At 44.1% G+C, this 12,459-nt stretch overlaps 1 protein-coding gene across 5 annotated transcripts in view, besides 2 other annotated features; it reads right to left on the reverse strand.

Moving 5' to 3' along the window:
* JPH1 (junctophilin 1) overlaps positions 1–3,465 on the reverse strand; it is an 86,841-nt gene extending 83,376 nt beyond the window's left edge. For 3 of the 5 annotated variants that reach the window (NM_001317830.2, NM_020647.4, XM_047421996.1), the window contains exon 1: positions 2,834–3,465. In NM_001317830.2, coding sequence (NP_001304759.1) covers positions 2,834–3,212 — 379 coding nt within the window. In that variant the 5' untranslated portion in view covers positions 3,213–3,465. The remainder of the gene's footprint in view (positions 1–2,833) is intronic. The other 2 variants (NM_001363050.1, NM_001363051.1) reach the window with 1 other exon arrangement.
* Positions 2,532–3,422: an enhancer, noted in NCBI's record as "H3K4me1 hESC enhancer chr8:75232842-75233732 (GRCh37/hg19 assembly coordinates)". NCBI's record gives its function as "activates a minimal SCP1, AML or CMV promoter by ChIP-STARR-seq in naive H9 embryonic stem cells {active_cell/tissue: H9 hESC(naive)}" and the evidence as "EXISTENCE:reporter gene assay evidence [ECO:0000049][PMID:30033119]".
* Positions 3,516–3,615: a silencer, noted in NCBI's record as "silent region_19300". NCBI's record gives its function as "represses an Ori minimal core promoter by ATAC-STARR-seq in GM12878 lymphoblastoid cells {active_cell/tissue: GM12878}" and the evidence as "EXISTENCE:reporter gene assay evidence [ECO:0000049][PMID:35858748]".

A 12,459-nucleotide genomic window follows, 5' to 3' on the forward strand; every position in this document is an offset into this window, starting at 1 on the left:
TTAAAATAGGTTTAGTTTAGTCAATGAACCTAGAATAAGAAAGGGCCTATTTCTTTATGAAGCAGGTGGGTTCCAACTTCTCCCTGCTGCTCAAATAAAGTTCTAATTAGTTCCTCTTGATTCCTAAAATGTAGATGCATATTTCACAAGTATAAAAATTACTTTTACCAGTTTTAAACTGTGTTCATTTGGGAGCTAATTTTTTAGATTTAGTCATTTTAACTACACAATCTTGTAGTGGAAGGCATCCAGTTTAGGAGTTTCAGTCAAATTTGCACTGCACTATGCCAAACTTCAGTTTATATGCTCCGAATGGGTATGTGCAAGTATGCATCTAGTTAACAAAACGTTGTGTTTTCCCAGATATTTTCAATAGTTTTATGACAAGTGAAAAAACAAAGTACAGATCAGAATTAGCACAAAAAATTCTGGGCACCTAGACTTGGATTTCATGAGTATGATACTAACTTATTGTTAATATTCAGGGGGTTTCTATTTCAGCAACATGTAATACACAAATCACTAATAAAATAAGTGATACGTCTCACATGGAATTACTGCTTCCTTCCTCCTCCAGTTTAATGTCACCACAAAAAAACTCGGAATCAGATTTTCCCTGAATCTGATACAGGGTGTACAGGGATGGACATGTGGCGATGGGGAGAGTGCAAACAAAAACAAGCTAACTCCTTAGTGAGAACAGCAGAAAACAAGCTAATTTTTTAGTGATATTCCTATTTTGGCCAAAACCTTTGTATGAAATAAGTTACAGCAATAAACTTGCTTTAGACTCCCTTTTTATGATTGAGAACTTTCTAATGAAATAGTTACATATGAGACAGTAGAAAATCTATTAGCATAGAGTAGACATTCAGTAGTGATTTTTAAGGTTTTTCTTCCTAACTGTAGCATATTAGATTTTTTTTTTTGGTAGAAGAAGAAAACCACAGTACCACCCAGGATGATGCCAAGTTTTAAGTTTTTTTTTAAGTTTATTTTAAAACTGAAGGCAGATTATTCATAAAATCATTCTGGAGACTTATTTGGGTTTCTACGACATGTACACAGACAGCCTCTACTGTGCTATATATATTTTGATTACTAGGTATAATGAATACTCTAAACCAAGAGAGTGTGTTTAATGAATAGTATCTTTAAAAGGAGACGATTTTTAACCTTCCAAAACTGAAGAGAACCATCCCTGGCCTTCTTAAAAGATTATAAAATAATGCACACATTTAAAACAATAAATTTTGCCTTCTACTTTTGAGCATGGAATTTAGTTATATAGTAGAGCTGGGGCCTCCAACAAAATCCAGTCACAAACTGACATATTTACAGCGCTGTCAACCAGGTACTTTATGCCCATTCAGAACATTTAAGGGTCCCAATTAACTACTGTGAAACTCGGGACTCAGCCCCACATAAAACTATTAGAGAACGTTTTTTTCTTTTAATCCATGAGAACCATATGCTTAATTTATACTGTAGGATGAAAAGATGTCCTTTTTAGCAAGTTCTACCATTCTGCCATTTTGCATTTGAAACACGGCCCAAGTGTTCTGACTAAGTGAAGTGTACAAATTGTGTAAGCTTTTATATAAGCAATGGTATAAATGGGGTTGCAGTGGGCTGGAGAAACTTTTAATTGCATCCCTTTAATATCCTCCAACTCTGAGCTGCTTAATTCCAAAAAGTGATGTCGCCTCCTACAACCCTTTTCAACTAAATATGATTATGTTTATCAGGAAATGCACTTTGCTAAAGCATAAGCTATTCATGAATATCTTTCTCAGCGTATTACACAAGGAAATTCATCAGGTTTTGACACCTGTTTCAATAATGTATACTTTTCCTAATAAAAGAGGAACTTCTGTCCTGGTATATACACAATCTCTTTGGCAAATATTGTTAAATATTAAAATAAGGTGATCTTTGTTCACAGCCAGGAATACTGGCTTAGGTCACACATAATGCAAATTATTGTTTCAGTATTGCCATTCTCAGGAGTAGTAGCTGCTAACTTAGCAGCTATAGGAACACACCTGCTAATTGTATTCTTTAAAATGTAGACTTCATTACCCATTTCTAAAATATCTTCCTAGTAATTTGTCCAAGATCTCCAGGTCAGCAAAGACTGCTACTCTTTTAAGACCAATACTTTAAGAAACGGAATGAAAACTAGGAACTCACACACTCTGAACTCCACCTGCATCAGGTGGCCTTTCTGCTCCCATAACTAGGACGTTTCCAAATGCACCCCCAAATAAGGTACAATTCCCCAACATCCTAGTTACGGGGTTCTGGCTTCTATCTTTAGGCTACTGGAGGACCAGAAGCGAAATACGACTCCACGTGAAACCAATCCCGGGAGCGGTCAGCACGGACCGCCAACCTCACCCGCTCAGGGTGTTCGCTCTAACTCCACGGGAGTGGCGATTTCAAACCCGGCCGGGAGAGGGAGGGATCAGGAACGTAATGTGACGGGCTCAAGTGACAGCGTCCTCTCTCCAGCCCAACCCTCCCGGGCGGCGCTCCCTCCCGGTGGCAGCGCAGCGCTGGCGCCGGCCAGGTACATTCACGCCTAGCTCCCCTGAGTGTGGATACACGGCCCGCTCCAAGAACGGGGTCAGATCCAGCCCTCGCGCCCCAGTCCGGTCCCAGCGCCCTCTCTGGGAAAGGCGGGCGCGGGCGCGGGGGTGGGAGGCGCCCCCAGGTGTTTTGGCGGGTTTCCGGACACGTGCGCCCGGCGTCCTCCCCGCTTCCCCGCAGCCGGGGCAGAGCCCACCGCACCAGCTCGCGGAGCAGCCGAGCCGCCCGTTACGCCGCTCACCTCCGTCCCCGTAGGTCTCCACGCCGTACCCGTCTTGCAGCCCGTTACTCCAGGTACCCTCGTAGCGAGCGGGGGTGCACAGGCTCTGCCGGACCCCGTAGCGCCCCTTGAAACCATGTGACCACTCCCCCCGGTACATCCACTTGCCCTTCGTCTCCACCCCCAGCCCGTGCCGCTTGCCCTGCGCCCAGTAGCCCTGGTAGGTGTTGCCGCTGGGCCAGGTGTAGCCTCCGACCACCTCGAAGCCGTGCGACCAGGAGCCCGAGTACTCGCCCTGGCCCTTGGGCCCCGTGCAGATGCCATGCCCGTGCGCCTTGCCCTCCTCCCAGCCGCCGCAGTAGGTGCCGCCATCGTCGAAGTCGAACCTTCCGCCCGTCATTCGGGGGGCAGCCCCGGCGCGCTCCCCGCAGGGGCACGGACGCGGGCAGTGCTGGGCACGGCAGGGTGTAGCTCGGGGGTGGGGGCCCGGCGGGCGAGCTCACGACAGCGCCCTGGGCAGCTCGCGCTGCCGCTCGGCTCCAGTCCGACGCCGCCCCCGTCCTCCCTCCTCTTTTGCCGCCGCCACCGCCGCCTTCCTCCTCCTCCTCCTCCTCCTTCGCCGCCGCCGCCTGGGCCAGCGCCGCGCGCGAGAGGACAGCCCAGGTTCCCGAGCGGACCTTCAGCTGCTCCCGCCCGCCCACGTGAGCCGGGCACCGCCCCGCGCCCGCCCCTCGTCCCCTCCCCGGGCGCCGAGGCCCGGCCCCGCGGCGCTCCCGCCCCACCGGGCCCTGCCCCCAGCCCCGGGAGCCGCCGCTTCCTCGGCAGGCGGGCGCGCGCGGGGACCGGCTGGCGCGCATGTGTTCGCGCAGTGGGATGCCGGTGGGAGGGCGAGTGTACCCGGGGACGCACGAGAATCCCTGCCTGGAGATGAAGGCGCGGCTGCCTGTGTGGGGGCCGCTCGCGGGCGCCGGAGCCCCCGGTGTTTGTGTTTGGGGTTTTTCAAAGTGGTTAAGCTCCTGTGAGTGCGGCCACGTGTGTGTTGAGGGAAAACTCATTGTATGCGTGTTTGTCTGCATGGGGTTTGTAGTTGCATTGTTTTCGCATTCCAACTTGTGTACTGTTGCATTTGTCATGCTCAGCTGTCATCGTGAATTAATATCGCCTAGATATATGTATGCATGTGATGTAAATCTGCGGCAGCCTAGATATAATTGTGCAGAGTGTTCTTTTACACCTACCCGTTTCAAAGCACACGTGTTTGCATTTATTTAATGAAGACACTGAGGGTGAGCAGTACAGTTTGAAAAAGCACAGAATATATTGGTTAGTTTTTTATTAATAGTGATGAAGAGGATGTTTTCAATCGGCCTTTGCAGTGGTACAGGATATTCCTTTTACATTAGAGCCTGCCCCCTCTCGTGCCTCGTTTGTGCTTCTTAACAGCCTTAGAGATTCTTGAGCCTGGAGCTGTGTGCCCAACAGGTAGACGGCTCGGTCTGTGTACATTGTATAAGTGTCTGGAATGCACACCTCTCCACTGGTATCCACTGTTTAAGAAAGTAAATAGAGGTTTGCAAGGAGGAATATGGTAAGTAAAGCACTGCTCTAAACTTGCAAAGAAACTGTGACCTACAAAACCAGGGACAGATGTCAGCTGGTCTACTTTCTAGCTACAACACTGCTTTGTCGAATTCACTTTAGGCAACTCTTCTAAACTTTTAAACCTCCATTTCACCATCTTCTGAATGGGACTAACAAGATTTGCCTTTCTCTTTCTATATTCGGTAATAACTGAGTATATTGTGGCTGCAGTGCCAAACCAAAAATTAGAGATTTGGTAATAGGCAAGTTGGATCAGCATTGCCTCTGGTGAGAGAAAGCATTATTCTCCACCTCACCCTCAAAATACCCACGGGAGAAACTTCTCCCACTTTCACAGCCTAGGGTCTTAGTTTGGCCTCTCAAGGAAACTGATTTGGAGTGTATTCCTGCTATTTCTTAGGCTGAGAGGCCTTTGGGTGACTATGCGAGCATCAGAAGCTGCCAAAGGTTCTCTCACTAAGTATTTGATAATCAGATATAGATATAAGGACAGGTGTCAGGAAGACAGCCTGGGAAAAAGTAGACTAAACTGCACAGAAAAGGAACTGAAATTGACCTTGATTGCCTCTCTCTCAGGACGAGAGCCGACCTTTCCTACTTATCTGGCTGAAAGACTGAAAGAAAAATCTCAGTTTATGCAGAACCAAATCACCAAAGAGAATTAGAAGCCCTCATCCATGGCACTGCCCGCAGAGTTGCCAGGAATAGTGCTTACCCTAGTGGCCTGAAATAATTATGCATCTCTCGAAGCATCTTGTCCTGGACTGGGGATTGATTTAGGCCGCTGGGAAGATGAGGGCCAGGGCTTTGCGGCTGAGCCATAATTCCATTTCCCTGTTATGGGATACACCAGAATCAGGAGCTAATGTAGAAAGATGCATTCCCATATATTTTGAGGTTCTGTATGATATGAGAAAAAGTGTGGTTGCTCAAGCCAATATTTTGAATGGGGGAGTCTCTTTCTAAACTAGACTTCCTCATAGAGTAGTCTTTGTCCCTTTGCCTTTTTTTTTTTTTTGGATCCACCCAGTGTGTTAGGACCCATATATGTTCTTTAAGGGGATAAATTTTGGAAACCTTTATCTCTTTATTTATTACTCTTCCTAATTAGTTGTCATGCAAATGAGGGATTTTCTGGAACACAGAGCACAAACCAAGTTTCTGGCTTCTGTAATGGATATCTAGTCTATTTGTGGTGGGAGGTGCACACACATCTGGATTGAATATGAAGATTTGGGGAGGAAAAAAGACATGGCCATTTATTGCTTACTCTTTTCCTGTGGCTATCCCTAATAGATGCCTTGCAAAGAACCTTAATTAAAAGTGAGACTTTACCACTAGGTATGTATGATTAAATTTTAACTAATCTTAATCCTAGCCTAGCTCTGATGTTGACTTTCTTTATGAAAGAAAGTTGGTATTTTTGGTAAATTACTAAACAATTTTTGGCAAATAACCATATAAACCATGCTTCCATTTACCAGCTGCCATCACAATGGAATGTTTACCCAGTCACGAAGACATATGTGTTAGTGTAAGTGTTCAGGGTCAATGGTAACGGTTGGAGAAGACGGGGAGAGAATACTAGGAAGAGGAAGAGATGCTGAGAGTGATGGCATAGCAGATAGTAGACAGTGGAATAATGTTGCAGTTTAATAGTCAGGGTTAGTAATGTCCTTATTTTCCCTCTCCCTCTGAACCTTTGCCCTGGATAAGGGGGAGTTGAATTTAGCTTTAAGAAGGGATTAGTAAGAAGAGAATGTGAATGTTGGTTTGACAGGTGGAACGGGGGAGGCCATGAAAATCCAGGGGCCAGCAACTACCCTATAGTTTGTTTTCCTCCATGTTAAAAACCTAGTTATTATATATTTCCATTCTAAAAAATTTTATAACATATTGTAAGCTATTTTGAGTGTGACTATGACCAGTTAACAACATATTAGTAAGGATGTTTTGCTGGAATTTAATGATGTCTTTCAAAAAATGAAGGTGTATTTAAAAATTTATTGGTGACTTCATTTTATTTACATAGTAGATTAATTATTGGCTGGACAAGGTGGCTCATGCCTGTAATCCCAGCACTTTGGGAGGCTGAGGCGGGAGGATCATTTAAGCCCAAGAGTTTGAGACTAGCCTGGGCAAAATAGGAAGACCCCATCTCTAAAAGAAAAAACAAAAAAACAAAAAAACCCCGACTGATTATTGAGAGTTTTTAATAAAAAATTTACAAATGACAAAAAGCTAATCTGTAGGTGTTTATTGTCTAAAAACCATGATTCAAAGTGTGTAGAAAAACACATACAATTAAAATCACTTGATATATAAGTCAAAAAGTGTTACCATCTTGATTTATACAATCAAATAATCAAAATTTGAATATTTGCAATAAAGAATTTACAAACTCAAGAAATTTGTCCGTGATAAATATAAAAATTAAGAAATATGGTCAGAAACTTTGCAGGCAGTGTGAAATCAGAAGAGGAAGAGAATTCCAAAATTAATGGTCTTCAAGTCTTTTATGGCAACTACTGTATGACAGATACCATACTAAGCTTTTTTTACAGGTATGAATTCATTTAAATCTCATAGTTGTAGATGATTTGTACTAGTCGTACAACCATTTCACAGAAGGAGAAAATAAGGTTTAGCACATTCATAGGTACAGAATTATTCAAGGTAGAAATGGTTGAGGTGGGATTCAAACCCAGGTCTGTGTGACTTTAGAGGAGGTTCTTTATTCCTGTCCTTGATTGGAGAGAGGATGAGAACACATTGAGAGCTTTCAAATGCTCGGCGGAGAACAACAAGGTGCAGTAAAGATGACTTTTATTTCTTATTTTTTTAGATTAGCTGCCTGGGTGAATGATAATGTTGCTGTCTAGATTTTTTTTTTTTTAAAGGAGGAAGGAGAGTAAATTATGGGGGCTGCAGAAGATATATTTATTTAGGAGACAATGATCCAGAAGTATACCCCAGAGATGATCAGTAGGCAATTCAGTAGGAGAGGTCAAAAATTAAAAATAAGTAGGTTGATAAGTAAATAATGCCCATTTTTCTTCTTCCTCTGACAGCCGTTGTTCAGTAACATCCCCTTCTGAGACTTCCACTATTCACTCGGGCCTCGGACATAGCCTGGACTTGACTTTGATCCAGCAAGTAAGGTCCAGTAAGGCCAACTCTCTGGAATTTGAGAGTATAGGTCCAGCTGAAAATTGCAAACTGGGATTTTACAATTCCACTCTGACGGCGTTCCCTCATTGCCACTCTCACTGAACACTCCGTTGGTTCTCCTCAAAGTCCTCCATGCTACATAGCACAACTTTTCCCAGGCAGATTCCTGATATTTATCACCATCCTGGAGCCCATCTCCACTGCAGCTTTCTCCTGCTGAGCAGAGGACACTGTCTTCTGTCTCACAGAGGAAGAAGGAGCTAGGAACACTTGCACCTTTCCTCTCTTCAAAAACTTTACACAGGTTCCCATTTTCTTCCTCTTCCCATTCACCTGCCTCCAAGAGGAAAAGATAGCCTTTTTCCTCCCCAAGTTCTGGGTCAGTTCCTTCTCTCTCTCTCTGTCTTTCTCTTTCTCTCTTTTTTGAGATGGAGTCTCGCTCTGTTGCCCAGGCTGGAGTGGAGTGGTGCAGTCTTGGCTCACCGCAACCTCTGCCTCATGGGATCAAGCAATTCTCCTGCCTCAGTCTCCTGAGTAGCTGGAATGATAGGTGTGTGCCACCACAACTGGCTAATTTTTGTATTTTTAGTAGAGACGGGGTTTCACCATGTTGGCCAGGCTGGTCTCGAACTCCTGACCTCAAGCAATCCACGCGTCTTGGCCTCCAAACCTTCTCTCTTTTAAATATGTTTTAATTTCTTCTCTTTCAGCCAACAAACAAGCTCTTGTGTTTTCCATATTAAAACAGTCCTAATTTGCTGGTCTACCATCTCCTTAAGTCCTCTATGTCTTTTCTTGAAACTGCAGATCTTGAAAGAGTGTATTCTGGTCTTTATGTCCCTGCCTCCAATTTACGTACTACTTGATTTGGATTCTGTTCTCACCGGTCTAGTGAAGCTTTTCTAGCCATTAGGGACCTTCTGTTTGACAGATATGATGGCATATCTTCAGTTCCTATCCTGCTAGTGGCAGCAGTGAATTTTATACTTGGGGACACTCATCTCCTTGGCTTCTATGATGCCCATATTTGTGCTTCTCTTCTCCCTCTTCATCTCCCACCACTTCAGCTGTGTCATTCTCTGTGTATTTTTCATCTTCTTATCCCTTTCTAGTCTCCTTAACTTTATGCTATCTGTTGTTTTCCAACTATTAGCCTTATGGTACCAGAATTTTGTATAATTGCTGGATATTTGTTGGCTTATCTTGTATAACTAGGCAATCCTGCCCTAGAAGCCAAGAGTCTGATTTAGAAATAGTCTAATTCTGATCTAAAAACACCAGCTGAGCCTATTTAACTTTCAAGGGCAATGCTTTGGTTTCTTCTCATGATGCGTCCCTTGTGGCCCTCTGCCTCCTCTTCCTAATGGGGAAAGCTCCACATAGACCTGGACACCATCCATGTCTAATGATGAGGCTCACAGAGGGTTTCAGGAAAGTTCTAACAATAAAAAAGGTAACCTCAGATGAAAGGGAGACTTGAAAGAGTGGTAACTTGAAGACAGAGTGGATTGCAGGTCTGTATTAGAGGTGTAGTGCCTGAACCAAACCACAAAATGTGTACGTATATGTATGTATATGTGTGCATATGTTTATTCATCTTATATATGTGTACATGGTTACTGTCTTAGGTATGGAGACATAGAGAAGTAAGGCTCAGCCTTTGCACTTAAGGATATAAAATATCTCTAAAGAGACAGGAGATGAAAAAGAAAAATAATAAAAATACAAGGGAGATAACTACAAGTAGCCAATAAGTGCCAAGTATCGTAAGAGTTCAGAGGACAGAGTGATTTAATGGATTGCTATGGTTGAAACAATTTTCAGTAATCATTGGCATGTTGTTTAACTTTATGGATATAGTAAAGGCATACCCTTCTAGATATTTATAATGCAATGATCTTCTTGAATTAAGAGGCACCCTACCAAGGGAAGGAATGAAGGGAATGAAGGTTTACCACTCTTTCAAGTCTCTCTTTCAATCTGTGATTGTAAGAACAGAAGAGACTTCCTGAAAAAGAAATCCCAGGCATCCGAGGAGACATGGCGATGAGTTCATCTCTCATCCTACATTTAAAATCACAACGCTTTGTTCTGAAACTATGACTGAAAGGCAACTCAGTATTTGAAATTGCACGACTTGGAGATAGCAAGGGAATCTAAAAGCATTTTGAAGAGTGTCAGTATTGAGATGTTGTTAAAAGTTGTAAAAATTGATGAGATAACCTTTTCATAAAGCAGTTGCATAAAGAAGGGAGGTACACAATATTGTTGAAAGCAAAGGAGTAAGTAGCTACTAAATGACTCATAGCTGAAGGAAAGAAAAACGCAATCAATTATTAGACAGTAAAAGAAATGTAAATTATAATTGAGGAGTGAATGGTTCCAAGAGCTCAGGAATGGGATTTGAAACAATAGCCAATAATAGAAGAGGCTTTCCTCTAACTGAATGACAAGGGGGGATGTGGTATCTTTGCCAAGAGTTGCAGTACCAATCTGCATATCAGCTCAGCATGCACACCTCAAAGCCCTTGTAGGCCATTCTTCAGATACTGATTGCATTCCAAATAAAGCTTAAATTCCTCTTCCTTTCCTTCATCCCACTCTAGCATTTTTGTCATCTCTTGCATTTTACATCATTTTCATGTGGCAAGCACTTTTTAAAGCTTACAGAGACATCAGAACACCCAAAGAGTGGCTGTGGAGGCTCACTGCTCAGATCTGCCTTCAAGAGAACCTACAGTTTGGAGGGTACTTGGCAAAGAGACTCCAGCTGCCACAACTTCACATCTCCTGTGGGTTTTGCATCAAGGCCACTGCCCCTGACAACCCCTCCAAGTTAAGGGTAAATTGATGCATCTTGCATCCTCTGCTACAAAAAGGAAGCAGAACACCTGGTAGGCCTACTCTTTGGTTCTGGAAGCAACACATACACACTTAGACACTACTTCAGCTTATGTGCTAGGTGACACAGAAGGGAGGCCACCAGCTTTGAGAGGGCTCAGACCAGGAAGGGGTTTTTCTAGAGGCTCAGGTTGTGATGCAAGCAGCCCTGCCTCTTGGGCCATATGATCAGGCAGATCCTATGGTGTTGGAGGTATCAGTGGTGAGAAAAGATATATGAAGATTATGGCAAGCCCCTGTGGAAGAATCACAGTTGCAAGTCTATGGGGATCTAAAGCAAGGATCTATATCATCTGCAACAGGCAATCTTACATCTTTTGAGAAACAGTTTACTTGAAAGTTACTTGGCCTTGGTAGTAAAGGAGTGCTTGACCATGGGAAAAAGTGCCTGTTCATTCAGAATTTCCCATTATGAGCTTGAGTCCTCTTGACTCAAGTCTTGACAGACCCAGAAGCAATCTATTGTGAGTTGGGACTGGGATCCCCAGGAGCAAGCTGAGGGGGACCAGAGGGCATGAAAAGCTGCAAGAACAGGTTGCCTTTTCTTGAGGGCTGTGTGGGACAGACCCTCATGTCCCCCACCTGGGTTCCACTGGTTCACTTCTCTGAGCAGATTGGGGTTTCAGATAACTAGCTGAAGGGGGAGGAAAAACCTTTATCTGGTTTACGGTTGGATGAGCTCAGTATGTGGATGTAGCTGAAAATGAATGGAGGCTGCATTACATCTACACTCAGGAGTGGTCTTGAACATCTGTAGACCGGGAAAATCTTTCCAGTGGGCAGAACTGTGAATGTTGAACCAGTCATGTATTTTGTGTGGAAGGGAAAGTGGCCCCAGGTGGGAATATTTATATAGATTTCTGAGCAGTGGCTAACAGCGTTGCCTGGTCAGAGGCTGGACAGAGAAGGATTGGAAGACTGAAAACATGGAGGTCTAGGCTAGAGACATGTGGATGAACATATGGGAATGGACACAAAGTGGAAGAGGCACTGAAAACCCAAGTAGATGACAGGACTCAGCCAGTTAATGTCAGCCTTCCTCAACAGACATCCCAGATCTGGAGCAAGGGGCACATGAGCTTAGTTGCCTCAGTGGCAGAGATGGAGGTTGTACCTGGGCCCAAGAGCAGGGACTGCTGCTTATTGAGGTTGGTTTAACTACTCCTAACTTTGTAAGTCAGATCTGTTAGTAACAGAGAGTATTCCTTGCAAATATCAATCACCTACTTGGTGGTAAGTTGAGTATATTAGACTCATTTCAGCCTAGAAGAGCCAGTGGTTCATCCTTACTAAGGATAGACGTTCTGGGTATGGATTTACCTTTCCTCCCCACAGAGCCTCAGCCTGTACCAGCACTGTCCAGTGGCTTATAGAATACCTGATTCACAAGCGTGGGATTTCACACATAAACTCCAACCAGGGGACCCACTTCACCGTGAAGGAGGTGCCAGAACGAGCCCTGATTGTGGGGTCCGCTTCGTCTTAGACACTGTATTACTGCTTACCTCTGTAATATTTCAGGGGCTAACCTCATAGAATAATGGAATGGTCTCCTAAAGGTACAGCTATAATTCTAGTTTGCTGGTAATAATCTGCAAAGATGGAGTGGCATTTTTTGGGGTGTGATATATGCACAGAATCGGATTTCTCTATGACACTATCTCTAATAGGGAGGACATAGAAGCCTAGGAACTAAGAGGTAGAAGCAATAGTACCTCACTTATTATCACATCCAGTGTCTTTCCTATCGGTGCATCTCTGGACTTTGCAGGGTTCCCAGAGGGGAAGCACTCTTGCCAGGGGACAAAGCAGAGCTGCAAACTATGGCTCCTGCCTGGCAGATCCAGGGATTGTGCCCAGGGATCAGCAGGTAAGAAGAGGAATCACCATATTGGCAGGAATGATTGACTTTGATGAGCAGAAGGAGGCTTTTATATAACGGGGACAGAAAAGAATATGTGCAGACCCAGGTG

Source organism: Homo sapiens, chromosome 8, assembly GCF_000001405.40.
Source record: "Homo sapiens chromosome 8, GRCh38.p14 Primary Assembly".
Taxonomy (NCBI): domain Eukaryota; kingdom Metazoa; phylum Chordata; class Mammalia; order Primates; family Hominidae; genus Homo; species Homo sapiens.